Source organism: Homo sapiens, chromosome 6 (genome assembly GCF_000001405.40).
Source record: "Homo sapiens chromosome 6, GRCh38.p14 Primary Assembly".
Taxonomy (NCBI): domain Eukaryota; kingdom Metazoa; phylum Chordata; class Mammalia; order Primates; family Hominidae; genus Homo; species Homo sapiens.
Genome location: NC_000006.12, coordinates 11,011,523 through 11,029,219, shown reverse-complemented (window position 1 = coordinate 11,029,219; position 17,697 = coordinate 11,011,523). Strand labels below are relative to the sequence as shown.

General features: G+C 38.5%; 1 protein-coding gene and 1 pseudogene across 4 annotated transcripts in view; one reads left to right on the top strand and one right to left on the bottom strand.

The window, feature by feature from the left end:
• Positions 1–17,697, top strand: part of ELOVL2 (ELOVL fatty acid elongase 2) — a 63,547-nt gene that overhangs the window by 15,086 nt on the left and 30,764 nt on the right. The window contains exon 1 of one of the 4 annotated variants that reach the window (XM_011514717.4): positions 164–16,738. The exons of 1 other annotated variant lie outside the window; for it this stretch is intronic. In XM_011514717.4, coding sequence (XP_011513019.1) covers positions 16,733–16,738 — 6 coding nt within the window. In that variant the 5' untranslated portion in view covers positions 164–16,732. Of the gene's footprint in view, positions 1–163; positions 17,336–17,697 lie in introns of those variants that run through there. 2 more of the 4 variants (XM_011514716.4, XM_017010985.2) reach the window with 2 other exon arrangements.
• LOC100421248 (siah E3 ubiquitin protein ligase family member 3 pseudogene) lies at positions 13,237–13,774 on the bottom strand (annotated as a pseudogene).

Genomic DNA, 17,697 nt, shown 5'->3' with positions numbered 1-17,697 from the left:
TCTCCCTCTGTCGCCCCGGGCTGAAGTGCAGTGGCGCGATCTTGTCTCCCTACAGCTTCCGCCTCCCAGGCTCAAGTAATTCTTGCGCCTCAGCCTCCTGCGTAGCTAGGACTACAGGCATGTGCTAACACTCCCAGCTTTTTTTTTTTTTTTTTTTTTTTTGTAGAGACAAAGTTTTGCCGTGTTGCCCAGGCTCATGCTACCTCTTTTAACCATAGCCTTAAGTGATGCCCCACCCTGAACCATACTCAGGACTGATTAAAAATAATCACCCCATGAATGAGTGACAAGAAGATGCTACAGTCTCATTTACCAGCTCTATGAAATCAGGCAAGTTGCTTTACCTCTCTTAAGTCCCATTTTCCTGATCTGTCAAAGGGGGATGAACATACCTGCCTTATAGAGTAGTTTCGAGAACTAAATGAAGTAATAGTGAGATAATAGGATATAATGTGCCCAGTACAATGGCTGGTATCTAATAAACACATTCTAGTTCTTTATAATAAATATATTACTATTATTACTATCATTTGTAGTTTTTATAATGAAGAAATCAGTGATGGGGGGCAACTCTGAACTGGCAATTAGAAAATTCTTGATACATTATTTTAAAGTGAAAAAAAAAATACCATAAAAAGCAAGCTTTCATGGCTGCTGTGGGGTAGCTAGTGTGAGATAATTTAATTTTTTTCTTTATAAACCAATCAATAGGTAAAAAAGCCTATAACCATTCTTCCACTTGGAGGCAATATCCTCTTCTGATGGAGACAGTTTCTCTGGACGGAAGCCACCCAACCACAGATCAGCCTGTTTGTCCACACCTGCGTCTAGTCAAAGGCAGAATCTCTATACAGTGGCCAGACTAAAGAGTCAGATTAACAGGATGTAAGTCAAGCAATGGCTTACCTTCCCAGCCACAGCAAATGAGGGAAACAGTGTTCTAGGATGACTTAATCTATTATGGCATTAAAATGCTATATCCAGATCTAAAGCTAGAAACCAAATCTCCAAAGAGGAAAAGACATCCTATAACCAAAGCAACTTATACATAGTTATAGAGGAACTCTATTGTCATCAGTTGCTTGATGGAAAAGAAGAGAAACCCATGTGTGTAGGTTTTTTTTCCCCCAAAGTCCAAATTAGACCCATTTGGAGGAATGGCATTGGGGAAAATAGCAAGGCTCAGGCAAAAGGAATTGGGTATACCAAGAGAAATACGATGTTCAGAGTAAGAAAGATAATAGTTCTACGACATTCTGAAAATGTTCACTTCTGAGGGCTCTATTGAAAGAGAAATGTTGACAAACTGGAATCAATTTAGAAAGAATGCTGAAAAAGGTGAGAGTCTGGAGCTCATGTCCTTTATATGGGCATGTGTCTAATGCCTAATACCTAGTAGATGTTCAGTTAGTGCTTGTGGAAAGTAGGAAAGGTCAGTCCACATAGTAAAGCAGAGAAAGGCAGGGAGGGAGGGAGAGGAGAACGGGATAAGTTGAATTTCCTTATCTTAGGCTGCTTGCCTAAGAAAGGTGAAAGCAGGGGGTGAATTAATACCTCTAATCAAATATCTGAAGGGCTCTCGTGTGGAAGAAAAATAATACTAGTTTTGTGTAACTCCAGAGGAAAGAATTAGGATTTATGGGTAACAGTTGAATGGGGAAAGATTTTTAGCACAAAATAAAGTAGGACTTTCTAAAAACAAGAAACATTTTTAAAATGGAATGTGCTACCTTACAGAGTAGTAAGAAGTCTTTCCAGTAAGGTGGGTAAATTTCTATCAGAATTATTGTAGAAACCAATTATTTCCGGCTTTGGGTGGAGAGTTAAAAAGTCCATGACTCTCCCATATGACGAGAGCCAATAAGCTGCTCCTACTCATCTGAGGTTTAAAAAAAGTCACTTGTTTCTGAGCTCATTTCTGTTCCTAACAAAGACTCTGGACCATGCAGAGCTCATTCTTGAGCCTTTACAATGCTGTGTGATGGGAAGTGAATTTCTATAGTAAAAATCGATGTTGATTTATACTATACTTTTAAAGTTATTTTTCATAAAACATAGACAGTAAGCTTAAGAAGTGAGAAGCATTTACACCAAAACTTTTAAAATATTATTTTATCTAAAGATATAAATCTCTTGTTGGTCAAAGGATACAAAATTTCCATTAGACAGGAGGTTCAAGAGATATATCGAAAAACATGGTGATTACAGTTAAGTGTTCTCACTACAAAAAAATGATAAGGATGTGAGGTAATGGATGTGTTAATTAGCTTGATTTCACCATTCCACACTGTATGCATATTTCACATCATATGCACCATAAATAAATACAATTTTTGTCAATTAAATATTTTAAAAGAAATCTCTATGTAAGGATAGTTAATCTATTAGATATAAATAATACTCCATATAGCTATGTAAGGTTGATATGAAGAAATCAAGCTATGATCCACAGACGGCAATAAATCCTGTTATTCTATTCCATATGCTGCATACATATAAAGCTAGAGAGGCCTTTTAGTACGAGGTAAGAGTGTGGACAAAGACAAATGGAAAAAGACAAATGACAAAAGTGCTAAAAACAGCTTCAGTTTCCCTGCAACTCCTAGTTAGTCGAGTGAAACAAAGGAGGCTCTCTAAGAATCAGTTTCTTGGTGGCTGTCCTGGATGTCCGTAGTACAACACTTCACTCCCATGTCCAGGATTAACGTGCAACAGTCTGCTTGCCTCTCCTGTTATAGCCCAGAAGGATCACAAAAGGATTTCCTGCCACATGCTGCCCACCTGTATCTTGGCAGCCTAGCACAGCCCGACCCAAACGGCACTACTACTTGCTGGTTACAGGAGCCATTTGCATTTTCAACCATGGCTATTTTAAGGCTATGCAAATGAGTTGGCGGGACTTTCTCCTTTAAAAGACAATGAAAAAAATTCATAGTCTAACATCTCCTTCTTTAACTTTTCTAATACATCTAAACCCAATACACACTTATTTTTATGGAATCAGAGCAGGATACTTTAAGTCTTCTCTGGAGACTAATTTTGGCTGCCCTTTGAGGAACAGTTAGAACCACTCATCAGGCTGCTAGCACTAGCAAAGGGGAAGCCACGCTGTCATAACTGGCTCTTGCAGTCGCTGCTTCCACTTCACCATCCTGAAAGCTTGATGGCTTATCTGCTTAGGAAACTCAGGAATGTTTCTCACCACCCCACTTCGCTACCCAGAGCCACTACCCATTAGAGTTACCGAACTGACCCTTTTTCTTTTAAAGGTTGGAAGCAAAAAGACTATAAATCTTTTACAGCTGCATTCATTACAGCAGTTAACATTCTCTATAATGATACAGTTCTAAAAAGCATTATCTAAAAAGAAAAATTATTTTTGAGAGCTGAGAGGCTAAAACTGGGTGAAGACTTCTGCAGAGAAAATATTTTTAAAGTCATAAAACCATGAAAATAACAACTACTGTACGTTTTATTTTATAGAAATCAAGTAGTATCTAATAGACAAGGGAAGACATTGATCCATAAACTTTTTAAAGAAAATTTGGTAATCTCTTAAAGTATTTGTATGGCTTTGAATGGGTGTGCTTTTCTAACTTTGTTTTAATTTTTATGATACACTTATAATTGTTTCAAATAGGCATTTGTTCATTTTAAAACTACTAGAAGTTACACTGAAGAAAAGCATTCAAAAGAAGACTTTTGAACAAAAAAATTGTTGAATGAGTGAAATGCCTGAAGTAGCTCAATTTACCAAACAGAAATCACTCAGTATTACAAGCCTGCAGATTTCAGTTTTACTGATTTCAGTTCTGTCTGCCCAGTTCATTTCCAAATTTGTATCAGTTTTACATACTTTAGACATTGGCGCCATATATGAAGCTAAAAAAATTAGCATACTTGTTTATTTTGTTTATATTCTTATTTTTAGTAGTGGTTTCAAAATTCTTATATAGGCAAAGAATGGGCTGGCTGTCAGGGTTGGCAGCGTGGATGGAGAGTGGGAACCCGAGGGGAGGGCTTGAATCTGCTATTACTTAGCCTTTTAAAGAAAACTGAGGAAATATGATTTTTCTCTTCAAGGAATGGTGTTAGAGGTCAGTGGCTGCTAGAATTTATGAGATTACGCCGTTGCCCCTACAAAAACATTGCTTTGTGCTACCATTGCACACTGCGAATTCTGCGAAGTTTAACAAGGCCACTGAAATCTTTAGTTTCCAAGGTTGTGTGTTGGGCGGTAATCTATCCCTTCTCTCTGAGTTTCCTGAAATACAGATGCAGAAGAAAGTTTCAGAAAGAAACAGTTTCTCTCAAATGTATACATGGGAAATCCAAACAAATTTGTCCGTTGAGGTTAGGAACAAACTCAACATACCTTTCCTCCAGTTAACCAACCTGCTTTCCAAAAAAGCCAATTTAGGTTAAGGTTACTTTTGAGAAATTTGTACTTTTTGTTTCAGAATCTGTAATAATTTCATGTTTGCTGATTGCTGATATTTGGTCAACAATACTATAGAGCCAGTTCTTACTTTTTGTATGAATTGGCACTCTGCCTACTGGCTTCAAGAATGTAGAAGAAAGCAGGAGAGGAAAGAATAGGAATGATGGGAGAATAAAGAGACTCATTATCATTGTCTCTTTAAAACTGAGAGCTAGAAGGGGCCTTGGAGATGATTTTATTCAGTAATACTAAGTACTTAGAGAATACATGTACATAGTTTTGTCCTGTAATACAAAAAATAGTGGTGTCTAGGGACCTAATAATAGGAATATTAAAATGATTATATTTACTTAAGGAACATTTCATATTATAAGGTACTATTGGCCATTGGATATAAATGATTTATCAATAAGAAAAAGGATAGTAGTATTTCATAAAAGTGTTCATTTAGCAGGATTCAAAACAATATCCAAGAAGAACCTGGAGAGAAGATTGTGTGTGACACAATGCCAATTTTAAAATGGGGGCCAGAGGCTTACATTTACATAATTTTCTTTATTTTGACTCAATCATTTTGGCAAAGCCACTGGCTTAGCCACACATGATGTATAGCTTGTAATAAATAACTTTGTCTTTTGCCTCTCGTCATCTGTAAAATAGATAATACTCTTCACCTCTTTCTTCCCTCCCTCCATAGAGTTGTCTGTCTTTATTCATCAGCTCTATATTTGGAGACTATGTTGGGCTGATGATTGAACAGTGATGAATGAATTAAGGTGAATTACAAGGATATCCTAGAAGATGCTTAAACTAACATGAAATTCAATTATCTAAAGTTAGTTTGTAATACTCTAACCATCATAGAGGCCAAGTATAGTGTTTCACCAATTTTTTTGCTCACGTAGCTCAGGCCGCATTTTTCTTTTTAGTGATTTATTTTCCTCCTAATGGTACTCAATTTGATTTGACATTATTCAGATTTAAATGCTGAGGGAGAGGTATGATTTTCCTTTACCTCCTAGAAAAGAGGATGCAGTCAAGGGCAGCTCACCGTCACTTTGATGGTAATGTCCTGCCAAACAAAACAGCGCGTGCTGAAGATTTCATTCAGCAGGCATGGAACCCGAATTGCTCAATAAATCCCCATATTGGTTGGTTTTATAGCTTAAAAGAAGGAAAATATAAAATAGTCTGTCCGGATGACTCACAGATTGTCTCTTGCTCAGTATTAACAGTAAAATAATAATCCTTTTGATTACCATAAATATATCAAAATACTGTAGCTATTTTCAAAATATATAGAAATACATAGAAATAATTTAGATGTGATTGTTGCCTAAAAAGTTAGAAATAAAATTTGGCCCATATTTTTTCCAAGAAGTCATTAAAAGCTTTCCTTTGTTTTCATATTCAAAAGGATACCACTTGTACATGCAGAATAGCCAACCTGCTTCCCCTCTGGTCAGTACTTGATAACCAGAGCACACACAGACAGAATCTCCTTTCATTGCTGCTCTTAATTGTGAAAGAGTTTTATTCTTCCCCATGTTCCCAAATCCAGAAACTGGTACAGTTCCAAGGTGTCCTGAATACAGATATCTGGCTTTGGATGAAATCTCCAAGGAGTTTTATATTCACTCACCACTTCCTGTGGAAGAAGTAGTTGTAATAATCATTACAAATATCTTGAACTGCAAACTTAGCAGCATTGTTTTCTTTTCTGTTTCAGACATATTCAGCATTGAATCACTGAATAATTTTATTTCTAATTATGAAATTGAAGCTTTGGCAGATTTCATTTTATTCACTTGAAATTAAAGCAAGTTATTTTATATATTCTAATGAGATCAGAATGTTACAAGTATGTGTTTGGATTTTATTTCCATACTCTTGGAGAGAAGGCCATAACTTGAAAAATGACTGGAAAGAAACTATTATAGTCATTATTAAGAAGAGACTATTTATGATAGTCATTATTTAGTAAAGTGAGTTTCCTTAAACTTGGTACATTTCTGTGTAACCAGTGAATTAATTCACAAGTCATTTAAGCTTCGTGAATATATTTTAAATGTTTAAAATCTATTTCAGAAGCTTAACCAATAAGATAAAGTTATATCTGATAACCAAGCACCATTCTGTGCACCAGTGATACACAGCTGAGTGGCAAACTCAAAATTTTTTGTGTGTATATAATTTATGTTTCACCAGTTCTTTCCCCAGCTCCTCACAAATTCCCTGTACCTGTTCTTCACCATTGACGTACACACATACCCATACCCAGAGAGTTTTTTCAAGAGTTCTCCCGGGATTGATTGTGAGTGATTCTGGTCTGTCTTTTTCACGCCATCTGTGGGGTAGTCCTCTTCTCTTGCTCAGGCCCCTCTCTGCTGGGTAAGACCCCCATATCCACTGACCACCCAGCCCTGCATGTGTGGAGTGCCGGCTGCCTGCTGAGCGCAGTACTTGGCAGTGCTCACTGCCGTTCATACCAGGTGTCCCAGACTCTGCTGGACACCGATTCTTGTCTAGCTGGACACAACTTCTGACACAGGAGGCTTGCAGGTAACACACTCCACGCAGCATTCTGTGGAAACGTTGAGGAGAATACCTTTCTCCTCTTTTCTGTTCTGGTAGAGAGATCACAAGCACTGCAAGGGCACCCCCAGTGTCTTATATGAGTACATCCTATTCTTTTTCATCACGGCCTCTCTCTCCCTGGGACCCCTGGGGAATGGAGCCATGAAGAATCCCAAGCGACAGACCCCCTATTACACTTAACATTACTTTACTCCTCTCATGTTCAGTTAGTGCTTTGTTACTGAGGCAGCCCTGTCAGCATCTGACACTCCACCAACGCACCTCCTTAGGATGAGCTCCCTCTCAAGCGTAGCTCAGGTTCTCGCACAAAGGGGACTGTCCTGCCAGTTTGCAGAGGATTCTGAAGCCAAAAGGTGAGCCAGCAGCACCAGCCACCGTGTGCAGATGAAACAGATGAACGAATGCACACAAGCCCTATAACACACTAGAAAACTGCTGTTTAAAAGATATTAATGATATTAATAATTTTTAAACCTTGGTATTTACCTCTTAAAAGTCTAAAATAAAAAGGTTTTCGGTTTTACTAGTTGGTTTCTCCTGAGTCATGGTGTGTATATTTTTAGTATTACTGCTGCCTCAATATCTCTCTGCTTTAAAATAGTGATACTTTCCCAAAGCTTTCTCCTTGTCTCTGTTCTCTCTTCCTACTCTCCTACACTCTTTACTTGCCAAATATATATTAATACACATACAATTCTGACACCCCTCTGAACCTGAAGAAGAGTGTTGTCAAAGGAAAAAGAGGTCAAAAGTGGACCCTTGAGATTTTCTAGCCCCATTCCTGGTGTGATTCTGTTACTTGTTCAATAAAAGACGCTTTTCACAAATGCTTATTGAGAGCTCAAATGTGTGCCAGGTAAAGAAGATCTTGACTAGTTTGGGAGAACAAGGGGGGCCAGGGAAAACCAACAGAGTTAGGAGGCATATCCAGGCAGAGGGAAGAACACATGCAGTGGCACATGCGGAGAGAACAGGATGTGTTGGAGGAACTCCAAGTAATTAGATATGCCTGGAACAAAGAGGACATCTGAGGATTTGGAAGGAGCAGAGACTTAGCAAAGTGGGTGGAGGTCATCACATTCTGGCCCAGTCTGCCAAAGGACTTAATAGCAATTGTTTAATTTTTTAAAGTTTTTCAGATTTTAAGTCAGATAAGAATGCTAGTTCCTCTTGTAACATACAGCTGGATACCAAGGAATTGAGGTTAAGATGCATAGTGTATACATCCAAACTACTATAGCACAGTTCACTGAGATGGACTTTTCCTTCCACTGAGCTCTGTACTGTGTTAGTTCCATCATATTTAAACATTGATAATAGTGACAGTAACCACACTTGTAATGATAAAAATAATGAGTTTGTCACTGGACCATGCTTGCTTTAGAGCTTTGGTTTTTGTAAAAATTTAACCTATTAGGGGGAAAAATGCTGTTTTACTGTTAACACATGGCAATCTGACCAGCACTTAGGACAGACTACTGCACATCCACTGAGGGAAGCCCCTCATGGTTTTGTTTGGGTTGAATAAAATCCTTCTCTTACTGTGGGGTTGGAGTCATCTTATTCCTCTGAGGTATGTTAGCAGATAAAGCAGAATGGAGTAACTAAAGAGCTAAAGGACCCTCTTGTACCCCTTCCCTGAGCATCTGGGAAAGACCCATATGGAAATATTAGACAGTGACTGGCTTTACTGATGTTTTGAAGATAGTCGGATTCTGGTAGCTTAGCATATGTAATGTGAACTTCAAGATTTATCCAAACGCTTATTGCCAATTACTACAGAAAGTTGGGTTGATTACTCTTATCGCTAATCTTTGTATCAATATAAAATAATAAGTATTTGATGAAAATTTAAGTTACTTTTCACTTAGTCAAGAATTTCTCAAACAGGGTCATACTTTTTAGTCATTTTATATCATGATATCATCTCATTTCTCTCACCTTTTATTTCAAGTGGATAGGAAGAAACCAACCCATTGGAAACTGATTTTTTTTTTAAGACTTAAGGAGGAACTTGTACAACTTTCCTCTATAAGTCATTTTGCTAACAGTTTTTTCTTTAGTTTTTAGTTGTAGTATTTTAATTATACAATTAATATATTGATAATGACTTATTGTTAAAAAGTAAAATGATACAAGCCAGGCCTGGTGGCTCACGCCTGTAATCCCAGCACTTTGGGAGGCCAAGGCAGGTGGATCACCTGAGGTCAGGAGTTCGAAACCGGCTTGGCCAACATGGTGAAACCTCAGCTCTACTAAATATACAAAAATTGGCCGGGCGTGGTGGTGCACACCTGTATTCTCAGCTACTCAGAAGGCTGAGGCGGGAGAATCACTTGAATGCAGGAGGCGGAGGTTGCAGTGAGCTGAGATCGCACCACTGCACTCCAGCCTGGGCAAAGAAGTGAGACTCTATCAAAAAAACAAACAACAACAACAACAACAAAAACTAAACTAAAACGATAGAGACATATACAGAGTAAAAAGTTAGTCCCTCCCTTTTCCTTCTCCCCATGCCCACTATCCTCCTTGCCTCTCCAGCAGTAGTCACTGTTAACAGTTTGATGTGTGGTCTCTGGCATTTGCCTTATGTGTATACTATATGTACTTGTACATACATGCCTAGGCAAGTAGATTGGAGTTGGTAAACAATTTATTTCTCTAAATCAAATCCCAGAAAGCAGAGTTTGTGCTTTATGTTATCTGATTGCACTCTGATTTTCTTTCTTACAGGAAAGCATTCTTTAAGGCTTAGGAAACTATAGGAATTCTTTGAGGCTTTTCTTTTTTTACCTAGTTTATTTAACTTATTTTTATTAGTAATCTGAATAAAGGTGCCAAAATTTTAAAATATACTAAACCTGGAGGGAAAAAATGTCTATATTTAGGAATTTGGACTAATCTTGTCAGCATGTGATGGTGAGGCTGAAATGAAGAAATATTCAATAGGGATAAAAATTTTAAATTGCATTTAAAATTTTAAAATGTGTTATAGAAGTTTAGGATGTAAGACTTGATTTCAGCAGTAGTTAACTTGAAAATAACCTGGTGATGTTTGTTGGCAAGGACTAGCTGATGTAGTGTCTGAATGCAATCTTATGATAACTGTAATAGAAGTATACTATCCTGATCAAGAAGGCACAAACCTCTTTGTACCCTTCCCTAAGCAGGCCACTTTCAGAATACTATATTCAGGTACAGGAAATATAAGGTAAAACACAAGTAGCCCAGAGATTTTATTTCTGTTTGGAGCAATATGGATACTATCTAAGTGGGTTTGTATAGCCCACTAATTACTAAATGCTTTGAAATTAATGGTTATATAATAAGTATAAACAAGTTTGAATTTCATCAGATAGCTAGATAATGAAATACTTGGTTGATTTTTAGAAAGTAAGCAAGGACTTGGTATTTTTGTAATAGAAACACATCAAAAAATCAATCCTTTAATTATAATCTAAACCAATTTCAATAGCCTGTGCATGGTCTCATTGTTGCTACTCAAAATGTGACCTTTAGCCCAGCAGCTTCAGTATCACCTGGGAGCTTGTTAGAAATGCAAACTCAAAGCTCATCTAGACCAATTGAATGAGAACCTGTAAGTTAACAAGATCCCCAGGTGACTTACGAACATTAAAGTTTAAGAACCTGAAAAATTCTGAACCCTCAACTGTGTTCAATGAAAGCTTTAAAAAGTCCATAAAGATGGTGTCTCCATACTTCTTGTGTATCTTCTTGAAGCATGATGCAATAGTTTGGTAAAGAAATGAGAAAAGTAGAAGATGAGGCAATCGTGGTGGCTTATTTGACTCTTGCATTGTCCTTCTAGGCAATACCAGTATTCTTACCTTTTCACATTTTTTAGTATAGGTTGGAATTATTGATAAGTAGTGATAATTCCTAGGATGACTAAATAGAAAAATGTTTTAAGTTATAGAAAAAAATAAGATCACTAAGATCCCGTAATGTATCATAGACTTATAAAAGGGTTCATTCTATTCATGTTAATTGCAAGAGAGAATAAATTTGATTCTACTTTAAAAATATATAGGCAATTTTTTTTCTGTGTTCTTTGGAAGAAAACTTCCAAAAAGAAATTTAAAAAATAAAATTGGATCCAGTTGACCCTGAGAATTAACTGGGAGTTAAGAATGTTAAGGCTCTTTCAAAACACACTGAAAACCAGATCATGTGTATGAAAATATAACTAGGAATGCGAAGTATATGAAATGGATATCGTGAGTATTGTAAAAGTTCAGATGAATGAGTATTTGATTAATTCATTCAATAAATATTAAGTGCCCATTATGTGCCAGGCATTGTTCTTGGAATTGGGGCTAACTGGAGCTTAGATTTTAGTGGAGGACCCAGCCAATACACAAATTAACAGGCCAGTGAAAGTCTGGGTAATACGTGCTGTAAAGAAAAAATAGAGCAGGTCAGGCGATGGTGAATGACTGCAGCACAGGCCAGGATGCCACAAGCAGATGCTTCCCTCTTCTTTGGTAACTAGGCCCTTGAGATGATGGGGAGATATGTAAGGAGTTACCATTTGGCCAGACTCTGAATAAAACACAAGAGCCATGTGTGGGAAGTGGAGCATAACCAAACTGCAGCAATAGTTCTGTTTGTAAAGTCCTTTTATCACCTTAATTGAATGGGACTGTCCTGTGGCCTCAGGGCTACCTAGGATGCAAATAAAATCACCCACTATTGGCTTTGTGGTATCCTGAGATACCACAGCACAAGAAAGGGGCTTGAGATCCGCAGAGATCATTCTCCGCTATCCAAGCTCTGAAACCCTTCAGTCTGAAGGCTGAAAAACACTGATTCATTGTAGTTCAAGTCTCACCTGATAGCACCACTCTTGAGTCTGCAGTCTCAATTTCCACATCTGTAAATTGGGAAAGATACCCAACTTGCAAGGTTATTGTGACAACCATAAAGAGTATGTATCAGGTGCCTGACACGTACTAAGTGTTTAATAAACAGTAACCAGTATTACTCCCCATGAGGGTTAGCTTATTAACATCTCATTTCTAAGATGTTAGAAATGATCCTCAGATTCCTTAGAACCTAAGGTAGACAGTTTCAGCCTTATGATATTACTAAGATACATAATAACAATTTAGAGTTCCCATACATAAAAGATTGTTCTACCCATTGCCTACCCTCACCCTCCAACTTAGCTCATTACTCCCTCCAGAGAATAGTAGTTGGGAGGTAGGGATGAGAGTGGATAGGCCCTGAAAAGGCAGTTTAGGGGTGTCAGTGTAAAATGTGCACAGATACATATTGTGTGAAGTCAGCTGCACGACAGCCAAATAATTTTATGCATTTTTATGTATCCACTCTTATCCATCCTGTAAACCTAGTTTCATTCACAAAGGTGAACACATTTAGTTTCTTCAAATACATGAGAGACTGGCTGGGAATAATCCCCCCAGGAGTTACCAAAAGAGGTTTCAACATTTGAAGGCCACCCTGAGCCATGGGAACAATGGAGAGGACTCACTGTGTGACTCTAGTCTGTCTCCCTTGCCCCTGAGAGGAGATAACACCTCCTCTTCTCTCAGTTCTGTACAGCTCAGCCTTGACCTTGAGGTTCCTGGGAAGTTGTTAGAATTGTGTTAGGTTAGTACGAAATCTATTCATTCCTAAGCTGATCAGATCCCATTTCCTGACTTCTTGTCATTGAATACTTCACATTTAGTTTACTCTGAAATGTACGTTAAAAAAAGAAAAGACAAAGTCTTTTTGGATGCTATGTTTCAAACTGTGTGTTTTGTGATCTTAATGGTTTTTGCTAATTTTAAAAAGCAGTGAGTTGGTGGTAGAAAATAGCTGTTCTCATCGAATGTGTCTTTAAAATGTTCTATAAAACTATCAACAAAACAGGGCAAACATCAAGATCTTGAATCACTGGATTTTTATACAACACAATGCCCATGGTAGACAAATACCAAAAACCAGAAAATGCCTAAAACGTAAATTTTAAAAAGGAAGGGAGAAGGGGAAGAAGGAAGAAGGAAATAGAGGGGAAAAGGAAATTAAAGGAAGAGAAGAAAGAAAGGAAAGAATAAAATGGAATCAAGAGTCCTATCCTTTAGATACCAGAGAAAGCGCAGGCAGAATTTTATGGTGGGGTTCATTTCTGCCTTGCTTCCTGCCTCAGCTTCTGTAGAATGGCCCTTAATCATGGTGGCAGTGATTCTGATTGCAAGGCAGCCTTTGCTGAAGAAAATCTGGCCATCAGGGTTTTGAGGATAAAGCAGTGATCACAGACTTAAACCTTTAAGAGCCAACTGGGAAATGCCCTCCCATTTGAGATGCCCTGGTTTGTGCTGACCTCCAACTGATAGAGTTAGGGATGGGTGGAAGTCCCAGTCAGCATCAGGGTGGCAAAAAGTGCCCAAGAAGTGTGTCCTTCTTGGCTCTTCTGTTTCCCACCTACCCACAGAAGGCAGGCATGCATGGTGAGCCAGTCTACCAGCACTAGGAGCTGCACATTCCATGCCAAGAAGACCCTCTCAGATTTCTATAAGAAGTCAGTCCTGTGAGACTGCCTTACATGGATCCCTACTACCTCCAAGTGGTGTATTTATTGCCAATAGAAGGGACAGGTCCAGGGCATCCCTGGATATTAGGCCACACTGATTCCTGGTGGTGGCGATGGACGGGGCATTAGAGGTGGTGCTGGTGCTGCTGGCTGTAACAGTGGTGTGATGAGGTAGGGGAGGCTGGCTTGCTCTGGGGTGCTCAGAATATGGCTCTTCAATTACATAGATCCATTTTTGGTTGTCTTGAGTCTTTTCTGCACATTTTACTTTCCATATGGAGTCATTTCCCTTTGGCATGAAGAGCATCTTTAGCATACTATGTAGTGCAGTTCTGCTGGTTACAGATTCTCTCACTTGGGCATATATGAATATGTCCTTATTTAGCCCTCATTTTTGAAGGCTATTCTGGTCTCTTCTTCTGCAGTCCCCAGCCAACCACTGATCTCCTCTCTGTCACTATAAGTTATATTTTCTAGAATTTCATATAAATGGAAACATACAGTATGTAATTTTTGTGTAGCTTTTTTCATGCAGAATAATTTTGAGATACATCCATGTTGTGTGTACATCAATTGTTCATTCCTTTATATTGCTGAGTAGTATTTACTATATGGCTATACACAATTTGTCACCTGTTGATGGACATTTGGGAGTTTCTGCTTTTTAGCAATTACAAATAAAATTGCTATGAATATTTGCGTTCAAGTCTTTGCATGGGGGTGGAAAACCTTTATTCAAATTACTAATAAAAATAAGTTAAATAAACTAGGTAAAAAAAGAAAAGCCTCAAAGAATTCCTATAGTTTCCTAAGCCTTAAAGAATGCTTTCCTGTAAGAAAGAAAATCAGAGTGCAATCAGATAACATAAACACAAACTCTGCTTTCTGGGATTTGATTTAGAGAAATAAATTGTTTACCAACTCCAATCTACTTGCCTAGGCATGTATGTACAAGTACATATAGTATACACATAAGGCAAATGCCAGAGACCACACATCAAACTGTTAACAGTGACTACTGCTGGAGAGGCAAGGAGGATAGTGGGCATGGGGAGAAGGAAAAGGGAGGGACTAACTTTTTACTCTGTATATGTCTCTATCGTTTTAGTTTAGTTTTTGTTGTTGTTGTTGTTGTTTGTTTTTTTGATAGAGTCTCACTTCTTTGCCCAGGCTGGAGTGCAGTGGTGCGATCTCAGCTCACTGCAACCTCCGCCTCCTGCATTCAAGTGATTCTCCCGCCTCAGCCTTCTGAGTAGCTGAGAATACAGGTGTGCACCACCACGCCCGGCCAATTTTTGTATATTTAGTAGAGCTGAGGTTTCACCATGTTGGCCAAACCGGTTTCGAACTCCTCTTTTCTCTTGGATGGATACCTGGGGGTGGAAAACTGGATCATATGGTAGGTGTATGTTTATGTTTTTACCAAACTACTGAACTGTTTTGCAAAGTGGTTGTACCATTTTACATTCCTACCAACTGTGGTAAGTAATCAGGGGTCCAGAGTTAAATAAGGCTCTCCCTGCTACCAGTCTTTCCATTCTTCTCATATTTGCTGTACACAGCCACAAATTGAATTCCAAGTCATTGAACACAGACTTTCTTGTAAGGGCAAGGAGTTGTTCTGGAAGTGGATCTAGGGTTATTTCGCAGAGAATTCTGTGGCCTGGGGAACTTGAAATGTCATCTGGGGAGGCTAAGTTGTGGCCATAGGGAGGCATGATCCCTTGGCTCAAAGGATTTTTTTTTTTTTTTTGCTTTGTGGAGGGACGTGGCCAAAGGATGACCAGAAGGGGGCCTTGAAAGTGTGGGGCTCAGGCCAGTGCCTCTCGCTCAGGTCTAAGGGCTATACTGTTCCCTTCTCATCCACCCAATTCTAACCATCTTGAAAAACCCATCCTGCATCCGCACGCCTGTATCTTCTGTCGTGTGGCAGTTCTGTGTGTCCTCCTCCTCTCGGTTGTTTGCTGTTTGACTTTCTATGTCTCACTTTCCCAATTTGTGCATAAACTTTTCAGTCAACTACTCTGTCTCCTTTTCCTTCATATGTATGACAAAGTGTTATGTACACGAATGCTGTTCAAAAATGTGTCAATGAAATGCATGGAGTTTGCTGCTTTTTCTCTGCTCCTAAGTTGGTGTTAATCTTCAGACATTGTCCAGCACACTTGACATTTACATACAGAATCTAGTCTAGTGTGCAGCTAGGACTTTGTGGTCCAAGCTCTGCCCAGTTAGCCTTCCTAATCTCACCCCAGTTCACTAACACTGCAGACCTCTCTGTGCTTATGCTATGTTTTACTATTCCAGTGTAAACCTCAGTTTGTTCCCCTGACATCACCTCATCTCATCATTGCCTTTTTAGACTACTTCCTTACTAACTATATTAAGTAACCCAGAAATAAAGAGAGAATTTTTATCAGGTTTCTGATTTTCCCAGCATTGGCTGTGGTTCTCTCTGTCAGATAGGTCACTAGAGACCCTGGCCATAAAAACATTTCCCAAGGGAGTCATGCCTCAATGTGTTTTATCTATGTTAATCTTTCTTTCTGATGTGTTCTTTCTTTCCTTCTCCATCTGGAAAATGTCTCCAGTCTTTCAAAATTCAGCCACAGCATTATCTCTTCCAAGAAGGCTTTACTTTTTAAGAGATCTAAATTAAAGTATGTTTCTCTATCCTTTATAGCACATCTCTTATAATATTTAAGACACTGGTACTGCAATTTTTTTATTTATTTGTGTATTACTCTCTCTCCACTAAGAACTCTGTGACGATAAGGACCACATCTCATTTGACTTTATTTTTCAGCATATAACAGTGCTAGTATATAAAATCCTCAAATAATTGGTTAATGAATCAATAAATTAATGAATAAAGGAATGGAATGCCTCTTTTTATTCATCTCTTTCCTTTTCTGTTCTCCACATCTTCCCTTGTTTTACTTTTGTTTCTGCCCTTCTTCCACTGTGACTAAATTTTTGCAATATAGAAATAATACGGGCTTTGTGACCTTTAGCGTTTTCTTAGCTCTACAAATGTTGGAAAATGGATTTTGAACCTTAGCAAACAAGCTGAAACAGTTTAAACATTTGTTTGTGGGTGCAGCAATGGAAGAAAGACTTCATTGGCATTTGTTATGATGGTGAGTACATTTGTGAGATTAACATTCTTTGCTCAAGACTGAGAGGCCTCTGGTCAGCCGCCCCCATTCTAAAGCAACACAGATCATATTCTGTCACACTGAGATCTCAGGTAACTGACCTTTCTCACATCGGGGGCCTCCCGAGATGCCCTACATGGAAACAAAGATGAATATACTGTTTAAAAATTTTCAGGCTTGGTTTAGCCCAGATATTTTTTATAAAGATATTATGAAATAATGAAGATAAAGTTCCTTATATGCTGGCCAGCAATAGTAGGTGCCAGTCAATGTTAGTCATCATCTTCATCCTCTTTCCCAAGCTTTCTAAAGTTCCCGAAGACATACGTTTCCTTGAAATTTCTCTCAGGATCAGAGTCACAAATAAGGAATAGGTCCAAGTGATATGTGCCAGGCAGCAAACATGCCGCTCCTCTTTTTCAGATGCCAGCAAATTAATCATCTGTTTTGGCACTTACAACTTTTTTTGAGAGTGAGCTGAATCTAATGCATGCTCCATATCAACTTCCCGAGGCTGTCATGCTCAGCTCACACACAGTCAGGGACCAACCCGCTGGCCCCACCTTCCTGGAAATACTGGTAATGTTCTGACTTCTCCTCTGGTTGCTTGAGGAGGTGCTGTAGACCTCTGTGGCGGAGCTGGGAAATACCTGAACGGGTATTTTGAGCAGCGTGAGAGCAGACCATGCTGGCAGTATTCCGGCTCCCACCTGAATCCAGTGAAAGTGACAATAATTAATCGGGTGTACCCAAGTGGCACTATTTACAGTAATATAAAGTAGATGTTAATGTGTAAGAAATAGTTTGAAAACAAACAAAACATAAATAGAAAAAATAGCTGTAATGCTCCTTACTTGAAAAACAGTCCTACTTAAAGTTTTAGATTCAGTTTTACGAAATACAGTTCAGCCTGAATTTTCATTTTAAAACTGGATTTATGA